General features: G+C 42.8%; 1 long non-coding RNA gene across 1 annotated transcript in view, besides 1 other annotated feature; it reads left to right on the forward strand.

Annotated features, from left to right (window-relative positions):
• LOC107984195 (uncharacterized) overlaps window positions 1-21056 on the forward strand; it is a 59329-nt gene extending 38273 nt beyond the window's left edge. Inside the window, exons 5-10 of the long non-coding RNA NR_176060.1 lie at window positions 16143-16244; window positions 17139-17192; window positions 19095-19181; window positions 19490-19625; window positions 20082-20181; window positions 20677-21056. This is a non-coding gene — a long non-coding RNA (uncharacterized LOC107984195). The remainder of the gene's footprint in view (window positions 1-16142; window positions 16245-17138; window positions 17193-19094; window positions 19182-19489; window positions 19626-20081; window positions 20182-20676) is intronic.
• Window positions 20224-20736: an enhancer, noted in NCBI's record as "NANOG hESC enhancer chr10:4125610-4126122 (GRCh37/hg19 assembly coordinates)". NCBI's record gives its function as "activates a minimal SCP1, AML or CMV promoter by ChIP-STARR-seq in naive and primed H9 embryonic stem cells {active_cell/tissue: H9 hESC(naive and primed)}" and the evidence as "EXISTENCE:reporter gene assay evidence [ECO:0000049][PMID:30033119]".
• Window positions 21057-23036: the final 1980 nt, after the last annotated feature.

Here is a 23036-nt window from a genome sequence, read left to right on the forward strand (position 1 = left end):
GGATGGGGCTGGATGCCACCCCCTCAAAGGAGCACAGACCTGCTGGCCCCCCTTCCCTCCCTCTGCAGGCCAAGCTCATGAGCTGTGGGGAGTGGGAGCAGGGGGTCCCTCCCACATCCTCAGGAAGAAGCCACCATGTCATTGGGAGCCTGTGTTACACATCAGTGTGTGAGGGAAGAATCTGGAAACAACTGACTAAGAGGATGGCATGATCTCAGCTCACTACAACCTCTGCTTCCTGGGTTCGAGCGATTCTCCTGCCACAGCCTCCCGAGTAGCTGGGATTACAGGCGTGTACCAACACACCCGGCTAATTTTTTGCATTTTTAGTAGAGATGGAGTTTCACTCTATTGGCCAGGCTGGTCACAAACTCCTCAACTCAAGTGATCCACCCACCTTGGCCTCCCAAAATGCTGGGATTACAGGCGTGAGCCACCACTCCCGGCCAGGTAGTGACAGTTTTTAGAGGCTCTGGGTGCTTGGCCCTTGCCTTAAACCGAATGCTTTAAAAGGCCTTTGATCTCTGTCAATAAAATTGCAAGTGTGTACACACATTTGACTTAACAATCATAATAATAAAACCTAATGAACAGTCAAGACATTTTTTAAAAAGACATTTTGCTTGAAAGGCTTCTCATCTATCATAGAACAACAGTGGCTTAGAGCTGGGGAATCATGTCTGTTTCTGTCCCCGAGCGAGTGCCTGCCATATCACATGAGAAGGCATATCCGTCACTCAGGGGGTCTCCTGCCTCCTGCTGCCCTCAGCTGTTTTGATCTATTCTGGTCATCTAGGGACTTGGCTGAAACTAGAAGGCAGACACAGTCTGAGAATTATTTTATTCCTTTATCATCTCCCTGGGCAATCTTTACTTTTAGGTTAAGAAATAGCATGTTCTTTTCCTTAAAGTTTTAAAATTCCATTTTCTTTTCATTTTATTGGAAAGACTATTGCAATGGAAAAGAGAGGCAGTTTTCTTAGATGTTCAATGCCTGTCTCCACTGGCCAGATAAATTCCAGTAGTGCTCCGTCATTCTGTGATTCTTCTTCGAGGCTACTGAGGGTGGCTATCTGAGTTGAGCAGAATAAACTTAAACAGGGCTGGGCGTGGTGGCTCACGCCTGTAATCCCAACAGTTTGGGAGGCCGAGGCTGGGGGATCATTTGAAGTCAGGAGTTCAAAACCAGCCTGGCCAACATGGCGAAACCCTGTCTCTACAAAAAAATACAAAAATTAGCCAGGCGTGATGGCATGTACCTGTAATCTCAGCTACTTGGGAGGCTGAGGCAGGAGAATCGCTTGAGCCCAGGAGGTGGAGGTTGCAGTGCACCGAGATTGTGCCACTGCATTCCAGCCTGAGTGACATAGCAGGACTCCGTCTCAGAAGAAAGAAAGAAAAAGAAAGGAAAGAAAGAAAGAAAGAAAGAAAGAAAGAAAGGAAGGAAGGAAGGAAGGAAGGAAGGAAGGAAGGAAGGAAAGAAAGAGAGAAAGAGAGAGAAAGAAAGGAGAGAGAAAGAAAGAAAAAAGAAAGAAGGAAAGAAAGAAACTTAAAAGGGAATTTGTTAATCTCTAGAAAATTTCTCTCATGGAAAATCACTTAGCTGAAGGGTAAAAGGAGACGCTCCCTTCAGTAACCTTCAGAAACGGCCCATTTTCTACTGAGAAATCACTTCACTTTCACTTGAGACGGGTTCTGGCCCCGCAGTTGTAAAAGCCTGGGAATGAATACTCTAGGTTTTCCTCCTGGTATCAACACGGCATGGTTTGGTAACCCCTTTCCTTGTGCCATCTGTAGAATGGTGGTAAACGTGCCCTACGTAGATGTAGGTTATACCTTCAGTGCAATGGACTGAATGTTTATGTCCCTGTAAAATGTATATGTGAAGACCGAATTCCCAATGTGTTGGCAACAGCAGGTGGGGGCTTTGGGAGGTGATGCGATTATGAGGTTGGGGCCCCATGAGTGAAATCACTGCTCCCATAAAAGAGACCTCAGAGTGATGCCCCACTCCTTCCACCCTGTGAGGACATGGGGAGAAGATGTCATCTATGAGCCAGGAAATAGGCTGTCACTAGACATCAAATCTGCCAGCATCTTCATCCTGGACTCCCAGCCTCAAGGAATCCATTGAGAATACAGTGTGTTGTTCATAAGCTACAGAGTCCTGGTCTTTTGTTACAGCAGCCAGAATGGACAAAGAATGCCGCGAAACTGTCTCCCTTCTGGCTTTCCCTCAGTGGCCTCTCCTTTCGTTTCTCATCATCAGTGTCTGCCCCTGCATTGACATGGCGGCTTGACATCATACTTCCTATCAAGGTGAGATTAAATAGAACTTCATACCTACTCCCTCTCCGACCATCTCCTGTGGGCCCCAGCTCCTCTGCTGCCTGGTGAACAAATGCAAGAAAGAATGATATCCAGCCCCTCGGCATGTCTGGCAATGTCAGGAGTGAGAATGCAGGGTGGCAACCGTGGACAGGCTGGCCTCTGAGGAAGCACTAAGGTCCTGGGGTCCGTGCCCCGCACAGCACATGGAGCAGGCCCACAGGCTGCTGTCATGAGCACCACGGTAGAGTTGCCACACAGAGTCTTAGTGTAAAATACCATGAGTTTATTTGACAAAAGGTAGCCCCAAGAAAATGTTTCAAGCAGGATAACATAAGTGCAGAGTCTGTGTTTATGGATCTTTAACCCAAACTTTCCCACCTGAATGTGATTCCTGGATAAACCCGAGACGCGAGTGTGAGTTAGGCTGGTTTTAGTGAACTATAAATACGAACAGTTTTCATTTTTATTAAGCATGCAACATTGTATTATTTAATATCACCTTAATTTGAACTTTGGAAGCTTTGATGATTGCACCCTATATTCCTAGTCAGCATTAATAGAGTAATACTATTTTTTTCCCCTAATTTCTTTGGTGATGGGACCGCCTATATTTACATTGCTGGACTGAGTAAAGGAATGTGGCTAAGAATACTGGCCTACAACTAATGAGAGGTGATATTGTTTAATGATCTAGGAGTTTTGGATTGAGAAAAACCCAGATTCAAGCTCAAGACCTAGAATCCAGATCAAATTCTGCTACTTACTAACTACATGAACTTTAATAAACATTTTTCTTTAATGCCTCTGAAAATAAGACTTATCAGATGCAGTAGTTCATACCTGTAGCCCCAGCATTTTGGGAGGTCAAGGCTGGAGGATCAAAGCCAGGAGTTTGAGATCAGGAGTTTGAGGGCAACATAGTGAGACCCTGTCTCTTACAAAAAGACTAATAAAGAGACCCACCTCACTGGTGGTTTGTGTTTGAGACAATGGAAGGAGCAATGAACGCTGGATCAAGAGGAAAACACGACAACACGACGTTGACTGATGCACAACATTCATTGCCAGAGAGAACAGAACGTTTTGGGATTATGAGCAAAACAAGCACACTGCTTCTAAGATGACACACCAACAGTGGTTTATGCCATCTTTTCATCATTGTGACAAATGCCACTTCATTTAGCATTTTCTTGTGTTCACTATGAATACTACTCAATATTTTAGTAGACCAAGGACCCCAGATATTCATGCTCCCAGCCATGATGTCAGCTCCCTTCTTCTGGGCAGTTGTCCCCAGAGCACCCCACCTACCACCAGCGGCCCTGGGGCTCTCAGAGATGCTCACAGCAAGTGTCTGCCCGGTATCTGATAAACAAGTTAAGTGGGATCTGTCAGGGAGGTATCTGGAGAGAGGTGGAGTGGGGCAGGGGACATGCATATTTACTCCCTTCAAGCACCAATCCATGTAGCTCACAGAAAGCAAACTCAGAGTGCTTAAAGCAAAAAGGGGCCCCTGTCCTGTCTGATCCTGCCCTGCACAGTCTTTGAGTTTATAGCAGCAGCTCCAGGCAGATAGTGGGCTGAGCACAGTCCCTGGAGATGAGGCCCTTTTGAGAAATTACCTCTGTCCCCAAGAGTGACTCCTGTTTCTCAGTTGGTAGCTGATTCATCTGAGACCATCTCATTGCAGAATTGACTTAGTAGCAAAGTCCTGTCTGAGAACACAGGCTTCTGGGGGAGAGGCCTCCAAGCCAAGTGACTCCTCAAATAGGACATGAGTTGCATAGGTTCTCTGAGCTCCTGTTTTCTTGTCCATGAGCTGAAGACAGTAAAGGAAATGGCAGGGTTTCCACGAGGAGTGAAGGAGCCCAAGGAGGGGGTCACAGGTGTTGCTGTGTAGGAGTTTATTCCCTGCCTTGCCTAGGAATTTATTCCTGTAAATCCATTTCCTTACTCACTTTTAAAATTCACCATTTCTTCATATGCTTGTCACTGTTACTACATTTGGGTCACTCTTCTGTGGCCCTCGAGGACTTTGGGGACACTCGGGTTTCCTCTGATATTTCATGCCATGACTCACCTATGTGCATGTCAACGGCCCACCCAGCACCCTACCTTCAAAATTTATGAATTTCCTCCACGCCCACAACTTTAACCTTTGTTTCACTTCTAGAATCCACTCAAGGGACAGGCCCTGGCCCTCCCCTTTACCAGTAACTCCTGTCTTTCTCTATCTCAGAAGTTCCTTTTTCTTGGGACACATGCCTGAGCCCCTTCTCCCTGCCAGTGTCCTCACCCTGGCAGAGCACATTGCTCCTTTTCACTGTGCAGCCAGTCTTTAGGTCACCCGGCTCCTCCTCATTCATCAGCCCCCTCTTGTCTTGCTTCCCTCATTCTAGTTCTGGACATACGATTCTATTTAAAAATCCACTCCCACTATCCCTTTCAATATTCTCACTCAACGAATGTTTACTGAATGATAACACCCTTCCAAATAACCTCTTCCACTTCCTTCTCTCTCACCCTCATATCCACTTAGAGAGTTTCCTCTCTTTAGCTTAGTCACTCATGACCCACTCATATTTTATGACATCTAAAGCAATATCAGTAACAAAATGCACCATGGCATTATGCACCACAGAGAAAGCAAACATGCTGCCAATTAAAGTAGAAAAAAGCCATCAATCGTAAGATGCATTCTGCTTTCAAAGCTGTTAAAATATGAAAATATATGCATCCTATAATATACAAAGTAATGGCATTTTTTAGATCCCTGCAAAGATACTTCCTAATCTTCTTTTCTCTCTGATATTAAATTTCATGAAAGAGACTGAGCTGTGAAGCCCTGACTCTTACTTCCCAGAGAGTCTTTATTCTACTACCATTTGGATCCCTCTTCTAATAAAACTGCTCTCTTAAAAATCGTGAGTCACGTCACAATTGCCAGCCCTGAGGCAGTGTCTAAGGCTGTCCTTCCCAGGGCCACAGCCTGAGCTGACGCTGCTGGCTGTCTTTCCTTCCTACAATGCTGCCCTTCATTCTGAGGATACATCTTCTGCTTATTGTCACACGTTGGTTAATCCTTCTCAGTTTTCAGACTAACGACTGCTTACCTGCATTATTTCTTCATGGTCCCATCTTCTATCCTTGCGATCTGTAGTTCCTCTTTTTGAAACCTCCCAAATCAGACTTTTTGCCCTCAGGACATACCCTCAAAGCGACTGGGTAAGTCAACCTGTAGCACTCACGCTGATAAATCAAAACATCAGGTCCCCATTATCCTCAGCTCTGAACTGCCAGTGGAATTCAGCCCAGGCATTCACTGCTTATGTGTGAAGATGCTTCACTTCAGTGCCATGCACAAAGCATGCTCTCTTGCACAGACTCATGTCACCTAAGAGGCTACATCTTCAGATCACTAATTCCTACACAACTCACAAAAATGCTTGAGCCTAGTCCTTAAAACTTGCTCTCTTTCAGGTCAGATCTAGCCCCTTTACATTGAGTAGAGTTGGCTTCTCAGGTTTAGACTCCAGGTTTACCTCTGCAGCTTTAACCTTCACACTAACCCTATCCTTAATTCTAATCCTAACCTTAACCCTAACCCTAACCCTAAACTTACCCCAAATGCTAACCCTAGCAACCTAACCATAGCCCTGACTTTAGCCCTAACCCTAACCCTAACCCTAACCCTAGCACTAACCCTAACCCTGATCTCCAGGCTTGTGCCCTTCATCACCTGCTTGCCATTGCCTTGGTCACATAATCAGCATCTCACACATGTGACATCCAAAGATAGATTCCCAGTGTTACCAGACTGGCTCTTTCCACTGTCGTCTCCATCTCACGAACAGACAAGTCTCTCCTTCCTGTTCCAAAGACCAAAGAACAGGAGGCTAGCTTTGATTCCTCTCCTCACACCTCTGAGTTATCTCCCTCCCAGTAGCTCTAGCTATGAAAAGAGACTCAGAATCCATGGCATGTCTCCGCTTGCACGGCTGCTTTGCTGGGTTCATGCAGGCATTACTTGCCCTCTGGACTGTTGCAGTGGCCCTTGACTGCCTTCCCACTTTCTTTCCCTCCCGACACTGCTCCACCACAGGCATCCTCCACACAGCATCCAGAGTAAGCAACTAGAGTTCCATCATGCCACTAGGCTTAACCTCTGCAATCTCTTCCTGTCTCAACACAGGAAATGCCAGAGCCTGTTCAGGCATCTCAGGCTTGTTCTCCTACATTCTCTTTCCTTCCCTCAACTCAGCCACACTGGTTTCTTGATGTTCTCAATGATGGCAAAAATTGGTCACTTCAGGGCCTTTTCCAGGACTGGTCTCTCAGCCAAGAATGTTCTTCTTCCAGATTTTCCTGTGGCTCATTCCTTTGTTTCTTCACATCCTTTTGCTTCTCCTTAAAAGCATCATATTCTCATCCCCTGACACGAGGATAACTATGCCTCTTTACTGTGGTTGCAGTGATTTAAAAGAACACGCAAGAGAGCCTGTCGCTGTGTCTAACCTGTCATATATGCTCAATGAGTGGTGTCTGTCAGTGTTCTTAAAAAGTTATTTTTAGTGTAACAACTATCTTTTCCCTTCATTTTATGATTTTTGTTTTAATTCTTGATGACCTTTAACTTGCATTGATAGCTTCCTCAATCACTTTTTAAAGGCAAGAGTAGCAATTATCAATGAAAAAACTAGGATAAATAAGGATTCTGAAATATACTCATCATAGGACAAAGTATGCTGATAACCAGGACTCAGAGTTTGAGACTTTATGCACATTTCCCAAAATAAACTTCCTTAAAGAATGATTGCTTCTAACTTGTAAGTTTTCAGACCCTGGAACTCATCCAAAGTCCTAAGTAGTAAATGTGGGAAAACATCCATTGAGTTTTCCTCTCGTAGCTAAACATATCTCCTGTATTCCATGGAGAACTATCTTAACTTTTTTATCAATTAAAGAAAATGATTTGTGAGTAAAAACTTTTGATGGCATATATGTTGCAACAGTGAAGCAACTTAAAATCATAAAGCACTTATAATCAAATATCACTAAGTGGAACCACTGTGTCCTCTGTAGATGCTCTGACATTTTAGGATAGGAAAACCTACCCAGTAAAACAAACTCTCCTTGGAAAACACATTCTGTTCTCCACTTATTTGAGTTCATTTACAAACATTTTTACCTTTTAATTTACCCAACATTGAGGTAAAGTAGATTTGGACTTGAGCACTTTAACTGGAGGACCAACAGCTGCATGGTTCCAGTGGCCAAGTGAGGCAGCCACGGGGCTCCTCCAGGGAACACCTCTGTGTTCTCAGCACAGACACAGGGGCTGGCAGATATTTTTGAAGACAGCCCAAAAGTCTCTTCCATCAGCCTTGTTTGGGTTCCATGAGATGATTTTTTACAGCTTTCAAAAGGCCAAATTACTAAAACCCTCCATTGTAAACATGGGCTCTAGTAAGAGTAAACCAGACCCACCTCCACCAGCTTTCAGCACAGCTCTAGAGCAAGGCCAAGAGAAGCATCTGCCGCAGCCAAGCCCACCTATGTACTAAGCCATGCAGCCACCCACTGCCTCACCCACCTATGTGCTGAGCCACGCAGACGCCCACTGCCTTATCTTAAGTCCTAGGGTGGAAGGTTCTAATCACAGCCAGCCCTTCACCATTCTCAACAGACTTTAATGACCCACAGGAAGCTCCATGATCAAGTCTTCTTCTGCCCTCTTTCTCTAACTGCAAAAAGACTGCATAAGATCAGAAGCATGACAGAAAACATCCACAGGGGCATTTCTGATGTTTTTCTGCGCATGGTTTCTGGTGGTCTGCATTGGATAATCTTAAAGGTTTCAGTAGACATCTAAAAATATGAAAGCATCCTGTGGAGGAATTCCAGAGGCTTGCATTTCTTTTCCCGCATTCTTCTGTAGAGATTCCTTCCACGTTTGCTGTGTTTGTGTGTGTGTTTGGATGTATGGCAGGGAAACTTCAAGCTTCTTTGAATTATTTTGCGTTTCCTGCCCTGATAGAGCTGCTACAGGGAACGCTGGGCAGCCATTCACATTCGCGATGTGCTCCAGTGCTCTTCAAAGCATAGTGGAAAACAAAACGGGAAAACCTTCCATTCATGTTTTATTATCACCATGTCTGAATTTCTAAAAGCTGAGGTGTTGTCTTTTATCATGCCTTCTATGAAACACACAACATATGGATCTGTTCATGAGATGTAAAATTTGACAATACAATTTCTTAGCTTTTTATAGAAACCTGACTGTAAAGAAACCATTTTTGGCCGGGCACAGTGGCTTACCCCTGTAATCCCAGCACTTTGGGAGGCCAAGGTGGGCAGATCACTTGATGTCAGAAGTTCAAGACCAGCCTGGCCAGCATGGCGAAACCCCATCTCTACTAAAAATACAAAAATTAGCTGAGCATGATGGTGCATGCCTGTAATCCCAGCTACTTGGGAGGCTGAGGCAAGAGAATTGCTTGCACCCAGGAGGTGGAGGTTGCAGTGAGATGAGATCGTGCCACTGCACTCCAGCCTAGGTGACAGAGTGAGACTCCACCTCCAAAAAAAAAAAAAAAAGACACCATTTTTGGAGTTTTAATTTTATATTTTAAAACTTTGTCAAAGTTTTCAATTGTTTATCATTTTTGAAAGGATTTTCAGCTGGATGCAGTGGCTCACGCCTGTAATCTCGGCACTTTGGGAAGCCAAGGTGGGCAGATCACTTGAGCTCAGGAGTTCAAGACCAGCCTGGCCAACATGGTGAAACTCCAACTCTGTCAAAAATACAAAAATTATCTGGGTGTGGTGGCACATGCCTGTAATCCCAGCTACTTGGGAGGCTGAGACAGGAAAATGTCTTGAACATGAAAGGTGGAGGTTGTAGCGAGCTGAGGTTGCACCACCGCACTCCAGTCTGGGTGACAGAGTGAGACTCTGTCTCAAAAAAAAAAAAAAAAGTTGTGTTTTTTTTTCCCCAATCATCCCACCCTCCACCATGACCAACCCAAAAAATCAGGAATATTTGGAAAATAAACAGGCATTCAACTGATGCAGGACAGGCCAGCCCCAAAGCTGGGGCTTAGCCCAGGAGGGTTCTGGGCTTAGCCCACGAAAGGGAGGCAGAAAGAGAAATAGAAATGGAATCTCTCCCATTTCCCCTGTGCCATTTGAAACTGCCCAAGGGGATAAGTCATCAAATATTCTTGGCAATGACAGATATGGTTGAAATAAAGTTGTAGAAAGAAGAACAGTTTCATCTTAGCATCGAGAATACTGATCATAATTCACAATGCAGTTGCCCCTCCATCACAGGAATGCTCTTTCTGGGATGTGAACTTGGTCTACTCTTGGCTTCTCTCTGCATCCCTGGGCATGTTCTCGGGCACTGACCCTTAGGCTTGCACTGACTCACATCGTGCGGTGAAATCTTCTCCAACACTGCATCTGGAAGCATGGGTCTGCCCCAGCAGAGACCAGTGGGTGACCGATACTGACCCATCACTGACAGATTATTTCATTTGCTTTACCAAAAGCCTTTTTGTTTTACCTCTAGCTCTTTCTAGATGACCTATTAAGTAATAATTGTACCTTTGTAGCTCCCCAGACATGCTTTGTTCTTATCACAAAGACCACATAAAAATATGTAGGTTAGAAAGATTCCTTTGTCCTATTGAATGTCAGATTTAACTCCTTTATTAGAACCATAGCTTTTACTTCTTTAAGCTTTTATTTAAGCTTGCTTGAGTTAGATTTCTATTACTTACCACCGAAAAAAAGGTGTGATTATATATCTTACCTTACCTGATGTTTCCTCTCTTTGAATCCCTTTAACATTCTAATGGATTGGGCCCCTGACTGATTCACGTGAGAAATTATGCAAGGATATAGAGTCATTATAACAACCTTTCCCAGAATTTTTTTTTGGTAAATAATGTATGGTGTTTATTGCAGCCCCTTCTTTCTTTTCTTTAAATATGATAGTGAAAGACTCTAGAGGAAACATATCCACTTCCTAAAGGTAGGACAATGGGCTGAACAGCTTAAGTGTCACAGTCGTTCTTTAAATCTTGGTGTTCTGAAGATTTTTAAAGGCCCATTTAAACCCTCCCATTGAGTACCTAAAATGGCGAGAGTTCTATGTTGTCTGTACGACATCCATTTATTGTCAGTATCTGTTTAGTCTATACAGTTTTCTGATAGTGCTTTGGGAAACCATGTAATATCATGTATGACACGATGCAACATAAACATTCTTCCTAGGGCCTTTTATGCTCATGAATCATGGTGCTTTGCTGAGGAATGGAGGGAAGAACATATTGAGAGGGACTGGAGCTTTTGCTTCTATGTGTGCATTCATCTATCATTCCTCTATCTATCATTTTCCTTCCTTCCTTGAAGATATTGAGCATTCACCAAGAATCCAGAGAGAAGCTTAGTCAGAAGGAATAAAAAACACCACTGGGAGGTGGCACTCCAAATTATTTCCCAAATGCAATCTAACAGGAAGTGGAATAATTCCCATAAATGGAGTTGAGATCCAGTGTTTTCTAAAGGTCTGGTGAGGACAAGCCTGGTTACTCAGCAGGCAACAGAGGCATCACTTGAGGCCATTGCAGCCCAGCTTTGGAAGCCTGGATGAATGTGTCAGTCCAGAAGCTGCCGCCAGAAGTCACACCCAGAGGGGCAGCTTAGAACAACACATGGCAAGAAAAGCTGCTTTTAAAAACTGGAGGCATGGATGACTTCTATAGGCCTCTGCTGAGAGCAAATGCCTTATCAGGTTGGGGAGAGATGCTTAGAGAAAGATAGTGCAGTAAAAAGTCAATATTAAATTGTTTTTCTCTGAAGTGTCCAATTAGATGACTTTGAACAATTGTATATATTCATGTTAGCAAAGCCCAGAATGAGATAAGGGACTTTTTCATTTTCTTAGAAAGTTCCTTCATGGACTCTTCAAACACTGCCTGTGCCTGCATTTGTATTTCATATCAACAGAATCACACCATGTGCACTTTACGTATGACTCCTTTGATTTAACATAGTGAGCTTGAGATTCATCAGGGTGGCTGCCTGTGCATGTGGCTTGTCTTCACTGCTGGCTTGTTCCGGTGAGTGTTTGTCCCAGTTTGCTGATCTCATGACCACTTAGTGCACATGGGGTTGTTTCAGGTTGGGGATATAAGGCACAGGCTTAGGGTGGAGCTTCGTCTCACCCTTTGGATACTCAGGGCTGTGATTGCTCCCTGTGGAGGTGCTTGGCCCAGTCTATGGGTAGGTAAGAAAATTGTAAGCTGCACCCAAAAGGATAGGATGTTTCAGGTGCAGACAGGGTGGGAAAGAAATGCTCCCGGCAGAGGCACACCAGTGTTCCCAGTGCTGAAGCTGGCAAGTCAAGGCACATTCCAGAAACCCAGACAGTGAGCAAGGCCAGAGCTGAGTGTGCAGAGGGGAACGCATGAAGATACAGATAGAGAGGTAAAAAGGAACCAGGCCATGGAGAGCCAGGCGCCCGGAGGCAAGGGAAGGCATTTGAACTTGATTCCCAGGGCAATGACAAGCAACTGAAGTGTTTTAAGTGAGGAAATTATTTGATTCGATTTTCCATTATAGAAAGCTAACAGTTAGGTTACTTTCTGTTTATTTTCTTGTGGTTTTCTCTGGGTATATAGTAAGACTGTTTCACTTTCCTGTTGTTATACATTAAATTTTGTCCCCCTGCCCCCGCAAAAAAAAAACATATATTGGAGTCCTAACCCCCAATACCTCAGAATGTGATTTTATTTGGAGATTGGGTCTTCACAGAGGTAATCAAATTAAAAGAGGTCAGGATGCTTGAGCCGGGGAGGCAGAGGTTGCAGTGAGCTGATAATGTACCACTGCACTCCAGCCTGGGCAGCAGAGCAAGAACCTGTTGCAAATAAAATGAAATAAAGAGGTCGTGAAGGTGAGCCCTAATCCAATATGACTGACGTCCTTAGAAAAAGGGCAAATTCAGACACAGAGACAGACATGCACACACCCACAGGGAACAGGCAGAGTTCAGAGTGATGCTTCCCCAGGCCAAGGAATGAAACAGATCATCAACAAACCATGAGAAGCCAGGAGAGAGCTATGAACAGATTCTCCTGCACACCCTCGGGAAGAGCCAACCCTGCTGACACCTTGATCTTGGACTTCCAGCCTCCGGAACTGTGAGACAATAAACTTCGGTTCTTCTAAGACATTCAGTTTGTGGTACTACATGAAAGCAGCCCCAGAAAACTAAGACACCCGCCCCTCCTTTCCCTTCCGTTCCTTTTAGTTAGGATGACCTAAGAAGAAAATGCTCTCACAAATACAAGTTCTCTGAAAGGATGATCTTTACTGGCAGTCATTTCTTGAGATCCCTGTGAGTTATTGAGATAACACTAGTTCCTTGGAGATTTTGTGTGTTGAACACATACCTGTTTATACCATTAGGTGTTGAACGGCATTGGGGTTCAAACTTTGGATGGACTCTTTCAGAGACATGAATTTGTTTAGTGCTTAGATATAGTGAGAGCTTTTCCAGAAGATGCAGGCATAGGAAACACAGACCTGAAAGGGATGTGACAGTCCTGACTCTTATGTATTTATTTATTTATTTATTTTGAGATGGAGTCTCCCTCTGTCACCCAGTCTGGAGTGCAGTGGCATGATCTCAGCTCACTGCAACCTCCTCCTCCTGGGTTCAAGTGATTCTCCTGCCTCAGCCTCCTGAGTAGCTGGGATTAGAGGCACTTGCCATCAAACCCAGATAATTTTTGTATTTTTGGTAGAGACAGGGTTTCATCATATTGGCCAGGCTGGTCTCGAACTCCTGACCCCAAGTGATCTGACGCCTTGGCCTCCCAGAATGCTGGGATTACAGACATGAGCCACCACACCCTGCCGACAGTCCTTACTCTTAATCCAGATAAGTCTGAGGCTCAACTCCCACCTTCAAGCGTCTTAACCATTGACTCTCCATCCTGAAGAATTCTTCAAAAGAAGCTGAAACCTCCCTGAGAAGTTCAATTTTATTTTCAGAGAATACTGGCCATTATAGAAGGTCCTTCCTTGTATTAGCCAGAAAATCTATTTGTGCACAGCCTGAGCTATTCCTCCCAGTTCTGTTTTGTGGCCCCAGAACAAGCAGGGTTCATCGTTGTCATGGCAAATTGCTGGCTATCTGAAGTTAGGTATCAGGTGCCTCTAAACTTCTCTTTCTGAGATCAAAGACTTAGACTTTCTTTAGTCATCTTGTGCCATACACTCCCTTGTCCTCTCTTTAGTTCTGTTTTTCTCTGAACAGGTCCCAGAGCCAGGGTTCTGATTCGATTGTCTGCTCAGAAATGAACATGATCTTTGGTTGGCTGTCTGAGTGGCACTCAGTGGCCCAGACATCTCCTGTCTTGTTCTGCTTCCATATTTCCATTAATCTAACTCTGGCTTATATCGAGTGTTTTGGTGTACGTATCTCAAAGCTGACTTAAACTGAATTTGGAATGATTGCAGTCTAACCCAGACAGATACGACTGTTAAAACTACTGAACAGAGGCACTCTGGCTGGAGTCCGAGAGGCAAGCCTCATGGCACAGGCGGCAATGCCAGCTGCTTGCATGCGACAATAGCAACTTCCTCACTTAATCCTCAGCCTCCAAGCTCTATTCCTACCTAACGGCCCAAACAGGCTGGGAGAGGGTGGTCAGATAGAACTTTCTGCGTGAATGGAAATTTTCCCTATCTGTGCTTTCCCATATGGGAGCCACTTGCCACATATGTCTCTGGGACACTAGAAATGAGAAAAATGTGACCGAGACAGTAAAACTTTAAAATCTTTAAAAAATTGTTTTCAATAGCCATCGGTGGTTAGTTGTTAGTGTGTTGGGCAGCGCAGGTATATAAAGCCACTCCATCACCAAAACAGAAGTAGGGGTGGTAGGAATGTTGGAGAAAGACGGGGGGAGAGAGAGAGAGGAAGAGAGAGAGAGAGAGACAGACAGACAATAAGAGAAAAAGAGAAAGAAAAATCAAGTGTTTCTGAGATAATCGGTTGCAGGGCAACTTGTAGAACAAACATTGGAAGAGAAAGAATCTTTCACTCTCCAGTATTATACAGATCTTACTGGCAAATTAGGAAAAGCATCCATGTAAATATTCAAGTAGAATTGGTAAGAAAAATGAGCTCCTGGCCAGGCACAGTGGCTCTTGCCTGTAACCCCGGTATTTTCGGAGGCCATGGCAAGTGGATCACTTGAGGTCAGGAGTTTGAGACCAGCCTGGCTAACATGATGAAATCCCATCCCTACTAAAAATTAAAAAAAAAAAATTAGCTGGCGTGATTGTGCATGCCTGTACTTCCAGCTACTCAGAAGGCTCAGGTGGGAGAATCGCCTGAACCTGGAAGGTGGAGGTTGCAGTGAGCCGAGATTGTACTACTGCACCCCAGCCTGGGCAACAGAGCAAGACTCTGTCTCAAAAAAGAAGGAAAGAAAAAGAGAGAGAGAAAGAGAGAGAGAAAGAAAGAGAGAAACAGAGAAATAGAAAGAAAGAAAAAAGAGAGCAAGAAAGAAATAGAGAAATAGAAAGAGAGAGAAGAAAGAAAGAAAGAAAAAGAAAGAAAAAAAGAAAGAAAGAAAGAAAGAAAGAAAGAAAGAAAGAAAGAAAGAAAGAAAGAAAGAAAGAAAGAGAAAGAAAGAGGAAAAGGAAAGGAAAGGTGGGGGGAGGGGAGGGGAGGGGACAGAAGGGAAGGGAAGGGAAGGGACTCCTAAAATGAGAAAGAAGCTGGAGCTCCCTTCTGATTAAAACACCTGCCCCAGGGCAGAAGCTGTGGCCACCTTGATGCAGGCTGCACCCAGCAAAAGACACCCAGGGGCCTGGAGACAGAGCTGAGCAGTTGGAGGCTTTTGGAGGAACAGGCAGGTGTGTTCCCCTTCCTTGACCTATTTAGGAGACTCCCCTTCCTCTAATGAGGAGAAGGACTAAGGGGAAAGTGTATCTAGGCAGGACTCACTATTTGCCTGGCACTGGGCTGGCTGCTTACAAAGATTCTTCATTTCTATCCTGGAGTAATCGATTATCCCCAATTCACAGATATTGGAATTATTTATCCAAAAGATGAAGAAACAGTGATAACACAACAATAATAATAATTAACATTTAACTATAATTGAATGTATATTATGTGACACACACTAAACACTTCACACCCATATTTATTTTTCACAGAGATATTTTCATTAAGCAGTATTATAATTTTACAGATGAGAATAAGTGGAAACTAATTGTCTCATGGCATGTACATATTACATAGCAGAACCTCAATTTTAACTCAGATTTATTTAACTCTAAACTTAAATTGCATATACGTGTGTGTGTATATATATATATATATATATATATATATATATATATATACGATGCTATCTATAATGTCCATAATATCGGCCTTAATATATCATATATTACATGTATGCATAGAACCACATGTGTATGTATAAATATATACATTTACATATATATTATATGTCTTTAACTGGGGAAAGTTTTTTGGTTGGCAATAATGTTTTCTAAAAGAGAAGCCATCTTTCTGTATAAAAATGTGATGATCAGTAAAATCATGTCCGAGACCTTGAACAGGGTCTGAGCACAGCTGTAGAAAGTGTATTATGTACGTGTACGTGCAGTACTGTACCACATAGCACAGTTTGAGTCCAAGAGGGACGGCATATACAAGAGTGGTTCCATATGATTCTAATACTGTATTTTTACTGTACCTTTTCTATGTCTAGATATGTTTAGACACACACATCCTCACCATTGAGTGACAGTTGCCTGCTGTATTCACTACAGTTGCATGCTGTGCAGGTTTGTAGCCAGGGACAAGAGCCCAGGTAAGGCTGTTGTAGGCTCCTTCTATGGTGTTCCCACAGCAATGAAATCACCTAATGACACATTTTGCAGAACTCATCTCTCCTATCTCTGTTGTCAAGCAATGCATGATGGTATATATTTTTTTCGTTCAGAAATTGGTCGCTAATTAACACATTTTTTTTTTCTTACCAAACTTGAACTCCATAAGATAAAATAGAAAGATGTTTTTCACTTGGTCAGCATCCATTCTTCCATGTTTAACTCTTTTTTTTTTTTTCTTTTGAGATGGAGTCTCACTCTATCACTCAGGCTGTTTAGTGGTGCGATATCGGCTCACTGCAACCTCTGCTTCCTAGATTCAAGTGATTCTCCTGCCTCAGCCTCCCAAGTAGCTGGGATTACAGGGGCCCACCACCATGCCTGGTTAATTTTTAGTAGAGACGAGGTTTTACCATGTTGGCCAGGCTGGTCCCGATCTCCAATGTTTAACTTCTTATTCAGTCTTTGAACTTCCTCTCCAGACAATGGCTATAGCTGACAGTCATCCAGTATGTCACTGCTGGAGTACCGGAATATCAGTGGATGTTCTTGTTTTGCTACTTTAAGTGAGGTCTTAAATACCAAGCCTCAGAATCAGAGATGAAGGAAATTTTAGAGACTCGACCTAATTCCATAATTTAGAGACGAGGAGGCTGAAGTCCTTTAGTGTGAAATGATTTACTAGACCTCAATAGCTCATATGGTGAGGGTAGGATTTTATGATATAATTAATTTTCTAGCTGTTGGTGCAGATTCTTATATAATTTATGGTTGATTTTCATTTCCTGGTACAATTTTATTTTCTTCCTCTGTACAAAAAAAATTTAAAGAAAAATACTTTGTGGATAATAATAATACAATTTTTGTAAAAACAGGAAACTTAAATGTGACACTCTTTGCAAGGATGGAGTAAACAGGAAGTGAATAAAGTGAGTTGCAATTTGAATTACAAAAATCTCTCATCTTTGGTCACTAATGTACAGTTCAGAGCCAACATTCTTCGCTACCAATGAAAAGCTGTAATAATCATGGTGAACATAGCCTCTGTGATTTGTTGAGCACTTATTCTGTGAACATCTGTGCATCTGTTTGCTAGGCTGTTGTAACAAGGCACCAGAGATTGGGCGACTGAAACAACAGAAATCTATTTCCTGACAATGCTAGAAGCTGGAAGTCTGAGATCGAGGTGTCGGCAGGGTTGTGTCCTCCTGAGGCCTCTCTCCTTGGCTTACAGACAGCCATACTCTCCCTATATCTTCGGGTCATCTTCCCTCCACGTGTGTCTGATATCCTGATCTCTTCTTCTTACTAGGATACCAGCCATGTTGCATTAAGGCCCACCCCATCGCCCTGATTTTACCTTAATTACCTCTTTAAAGACGGTATCTCCAAATACAGTCACTTTGTGAGGTCCTGATGACCTCCTTCAACCCAGGAATTTGGGGAGGACACAGTTCAACCCATAATAGGCTATATATATCTAGCATGTATAATTTTTATGATAGAGCAGGGAGAAATGTAATGTCCTCATTTTACAGAAATATGAATTCAGAGAGATTAGTGACATGCTCAAGAGCAAACATTCTTTTGAATGAAGTGAGGTTTATGTATTATATTGTCACCCTTAGGTTTCCAAATCCTTACTTTTTCCACTATATCTGCAACACCACCTTTCTGACTGGAAAGAAAAGAGGCAGGGATTATATCACAGTGGCTTAGGCCTGTAATCCCAGAACTAGGAGGCTGAGATGGGTGGATCACCTGAGGCCAGGAGTTCGAGACCAGCCTGACCAACATAGTGAAACCCTGTCTCTACTAAAAACACAAAATTAGCCAGGTATGCATGCCTGTAATCCCAGCTACTTGGGAGGCTGAGGTAGGAGGATCACTTGAACCCGGGAGGCGGAGGTTGCAGTGAGCCGAGATTGCACCACTGCACTCCAGCCTGGGCAACAAGAGTGAAACTCCATCTGAAAAAGAAGAAAAAAAAAAAGGAGTGCTCTCAGTGGACTTTATCTGATCCTTTTAAGTGAGAACCATCATTTAAGGGATGTTCCCATACTCCCCACAACCTCAGGAGCAGATACCCCTCTAGTTAGAAGTAGAACTCTGGAAACTTTGTATGTATTTTAGTTTTCCAAATACATGTGTTTGGAGTTAGTAGTAAACCCTTGCAGTGTGTGTGGTGAGTGTGTTTGTGTTGGTGGGTGTATAGTGTTGTCTGTGTGAGTCTCCCTGCAAATCAGTGGCTGTGTGGATAAGTCAAAGCGGTCTCCTCCCTCATGCCGTGGGAGAGGCAACTAATGACCTCATGACGACTTCCAATCCTGTTTTGTGTCAAAGCCTTTAGGATCTAGCCAGTGACTGCTACATAGAAGGCAGTCTAGAGATTTGGCCAGAATCGCAGCAAAACCCAGGCCAAGAGTGTGGAGAGGGAGCAAGCCCACTCGAGCTGTGGCCCTGCCTTGCTTATGAAGTGACCTCAGATCACTGCTGCTCTCTGGTCCTCCACTTCCTAATGTGTAATTAAGGAAGTCACACAGTGCAACCTCTATCTTTAAGATCTAAAAAATTTGAGTTTTCTTGTGATGAACAGCATTCCAATCCCACTTACACAGAAAAAAAAAAAAAAAGCTCTGGCTTTAAAAATAAAACATCCAAAAAATTAAGACTAGAAAGATGATATTTAAGAGTAGTATTTTATTACTTTGAAAACATCTGGTATGAATTTGAAATTTCATTTTAAAATTTTTAATAGATTCCTCATTCTGTTTCTAGAAAATAGGTTAAAGTGAGTTGTTATGAAACCATGTTTCTAATTTTTATTTCAGATTCTATATTTCAACTAAAGCTCGCACTTGGGTGAAATCTTTCAACATATCTTTTGTTTAAGAAAAGTCAGAACAAGAATTTCCAAGGTACTGCTTATTTATTATAGAAAACTTAGAAAATATAGAGAAATGTACAGAAGAAAACAAATTCTCTCAAAATCTCAATTCATAGAGATACATACAAGGCATTTTTTAATGTATGTAATTTGTAATTTGTGTGTGTATGTGTGTAACAGGGTCTCATTCTGTCCCCCAAGCTGTAGTGCGGTGACGTGATCACGACTCACTGCAGCCTTGACCTCCTGGGCTTAGGTGATCCTCCCATCTCAGCCTCCTGAATAGCTGCAACTACAGGCATGAGCCACCATGCCAGGTTAATTTTGTATTTTTTGTAGAGATGGGGTTTCGTTATGTTGTCCACGCTGGTCTCGAACTCCTGGGCTCAAGTCATCCATCCACCTTGGCCTCCCAAGTTACAGGGATTACAGGCATGAGCCTCTGTGCCTAGCCATGATGTATGTAATTTGTAAGGTGAGATAACTGTCTTGTTGTTTTGCTTTGTCATCTATGTTTATATTGTTCTCTGTAAATCCTCCACTGGAAAAGTTTTTCCATCCAGACCTGAGTCTCATGAGCTACGGCTAAGATGTAATCACTCCCAAAGAAACATGCACTCTCAACAACATTTTTGACATACTTGATTGTTTACCATTGCTTTGCATGGAGGGGAATGAAATGGACCTTTTAGAATCAACTTGCCCAACAGTGGATCTAGGCCAGGCTGAGAAGAGGGTGCCAAGGCTGACATTTGAGTCTAGACAATGATGTCTCTCAAAATGCATTTTGCCCTGTGATTTTCCCCCAGCTCCTTAGTTTTCTAGCATAATTGATGGCCTTTGTGGGCCATAATCCAAAACCACTACACACAGGAAAAGGGCTGTCAAGCAGCAATAGTATAATAATTCATGCGTTATTATTACCATTTAGAGAAAACACCTATGCAGAATTGCAAGTTGTGATGGGCCCTTGAAAATCAACGTGTGTGCCGAATCCAGGTGGATGCTGTGACCTCACAAAAGCTGTGAAGGTGTGCTATCGCAGAGTGGAGGTGTGGCAAAGTCCAGATTCAAGAAAAGGCTGAAGTCAGCTTGTGTCCCTGACCTGGGATCTCAGCCTTAATCTCATGTTTAGAAGTGAGGCCAGTGCCATTGGCCATTGACATCCAGAAGATAAACTCTCATGGAATGACAGCTGACAAACAGCAGATGCCTTCAGACTGGCAGATTCTTCTATCTTGTGTTAATGCATCTTTATGGGAATTCACAATGTTCTCTAGGCAGGGGTCCAAGTGATAAGCACCAGAGCTTTGAAATAAGATAGTAGAAAGCGGGGTAGGCTGTGCTTTTGAAGTGCATTTTCCTGGCAAACGGAAGATGGCCCTCCTCATTCTGCCAAAGGGAATTCTAAGAGCCAAGATTGCATAAGAGGATTGCATTTTGGATGTTTTTAGGATGTGAGCTGAGGTAGGCTTAGCTCTGGCTCAAGGATTTCAAAGTAACTGACTTGTTTTGTGTACTTTCAGCTCTCTGCAACTCTTGCTGAATTTTGGCATCTTTAGCAGAGCAGGAGCAATCAGCATTGATAAACAGATTTCCTCTTGTATGGGTGCCTTGCCAGTGCAGGGATGTGCAGTGATCTTTCACCCTCTCAGCTTTCCTCTCGATACTGCATTCATCATTTCAAGAGCTTTCAGGAATGTGGGCCGTGCTGACATTTTGTAATGTCTATCAGGAATTGAGATTTTAGGGTAACAACATAAAATGTTCCTAAGGTGAAGGTTTTGTTGTTGTTTTTGTTGTTAATTGCCTACATTATGACAGTTTTGTACTTAATTATCACCACATATCTAGCTGCTTGAAAACTGTTTCTTTTTTAAAAATACAAAGCAATAAAAATATAAACTTAAATTTCTTTAGCTTTAATATATCTTGGTTCACCTCCTCTAATTAATTTGCCATTCAGCTCATTTCATTAATGTATAATAAAATAACAATTTGACATTTGGATAAGTTAGTGAATTTGGGGCTTATGCTTTTCAAAGCTGATACTTGTTTTCTCTTAGGTTTTTATTATTGTATTAGAGCCATATAATAAAGGAAGAAAAAAAAAATAAAAAAATCCATGGGATTAAAGAAGAAATTATGTTGATTAAAATGTGTCATTTGAGCCAGATGTTCTAGAAGGAACTGCATGGGATGTGTCTTTAGAAATGCTCTGTGTCCTCCACTGTGAGAGCAGAAGACGTCTCTGCATAGTCCTCTGTTCAAAACCCAAACTATAGATTGACCAGTACTCTCACATTAAAAAGCAGGGTTTGAAGGATACATTTACCCTCAAAAGGTAACTCGGCACTCAAAATTTATAGATCAGTCTTACCCATGACATAAATCCATGGAGGAATAAAACTTAATTTGTAACTTAGGGGATGCAACATTCAGGTTAAATGTGATAAAAATATGTGATGATGGACTCCCTACAAAGGAACCGGTGAGAAGGTACCCTAGCTACTGAGAAGCATTTTGTGACTAAAGGACCTTATGGGTTATTGATGATTATTTACATTCTACCAGAACTGTTAAAGCCCTGAAAATTACCTTTACACTTTTTTTTTTCTTTTAAGACGAAACCTTGCTGTGTCACCCAGGATGGAGTGCAGTGGCACTATCTCAGCTCACTGCAACCTCTGCCTCCTGATTCAAGCAATTTTCCTGCCTCAAGCAACTCTACTGCCTCTCCAGTAGCTATAATCCCAGCTACTCCTGTAATCCCAAGTAGCTGGGATTACAGGTGCCCGCCACCCGCCATGCCCAGCTAACTTTCTTTTCTTTTTCTTTTTTTTTTTTTTAAGTAGAGACAGGGTTTCTCCATGTGGGCCAGGCTGGTCTCGAAATCCTGGCCTCAAGTGATCTGCCCTTCCTCGGCCTCCCAACATGCTGGGATTACAGGTATGATCCACCATGCCTGGCCTCTTTACACTTATTTTTAATTATAATTACACTAAGAAATCACCATGACTCCCACTTATTAAGCTATTTTTATAAGCCATATAGTGTGTTAAACACTTTACATGTGTTCTTACTTAACTGTTGCCCCAACTCCATGGAGTCGATATTAGTTACCGCATTTCAGTATTATAAACACTGAAACTGAGTTTCGGAGGGAGTAAATAACTTCCCCTTCCGTGTGCAATCAGAGGTAGTGCTAGGATTTGATTGAGCCTTATGGCAATCGAAAGCCCATGTTTCTACCTTTCCTAGGCTCTGCCTCCTCTGTCGAAAATTCAAGGCAGGCGGAATGCAGTGCTGCCCCTGACACACACCACAGTAGCGACTCCAGTCTTCATCTGAGATGATGGCACAGGTGACGTCTTACTTGGGATTTTGAATTTTATGCACTATAATGCCTGCACATGATAGAAATAATTGGCATGTTGCAATATTCCCTGAAGGACTGTGGTCCCTTGTCTTCCCCCTATATATAGATCAGGGTCCTTAACAATGCCACTGCATTAGATTTAATTATAATCCAGATATCTATGGACATAAGAAAGATAGTTGTTCATTCACTTTAACCTGCACTAAAGCAATGTTTGTAAATCAAACGATGTCTGGAACCAGACAATTCAGATTATTTGGTAAATATTTTGTATACATTGAATTGAGGGATCTGCAAAAAGAAGGAAGAGGTGACACTTGGACCCCTTCTAACTAATTACATGACAGAATTCATCCATCACATTTCAAAAGCAATACAGAGAAAAGTGCATGATTTACAGCCAGAAAATGACGCATGCCTGGGTTGCAAGAAGCCACAGAGGAAGGGGACAGAATGTGAAGGGAGGGTCTGAGGCCAGAGGAAAGGGATATCACTGACAATGGAATC

Source organism: Homo sapiens, chromosome 10 (assembly GCF_000001405.40).
Source record: "Homo sapiens chromosome 10, GRCh38.p14 Primary Assembly".
NCBI lineage: Eukaryota > Metazoa > Chordata > Mammalia > Primates > Hominidae > Homo > Homo sapiens.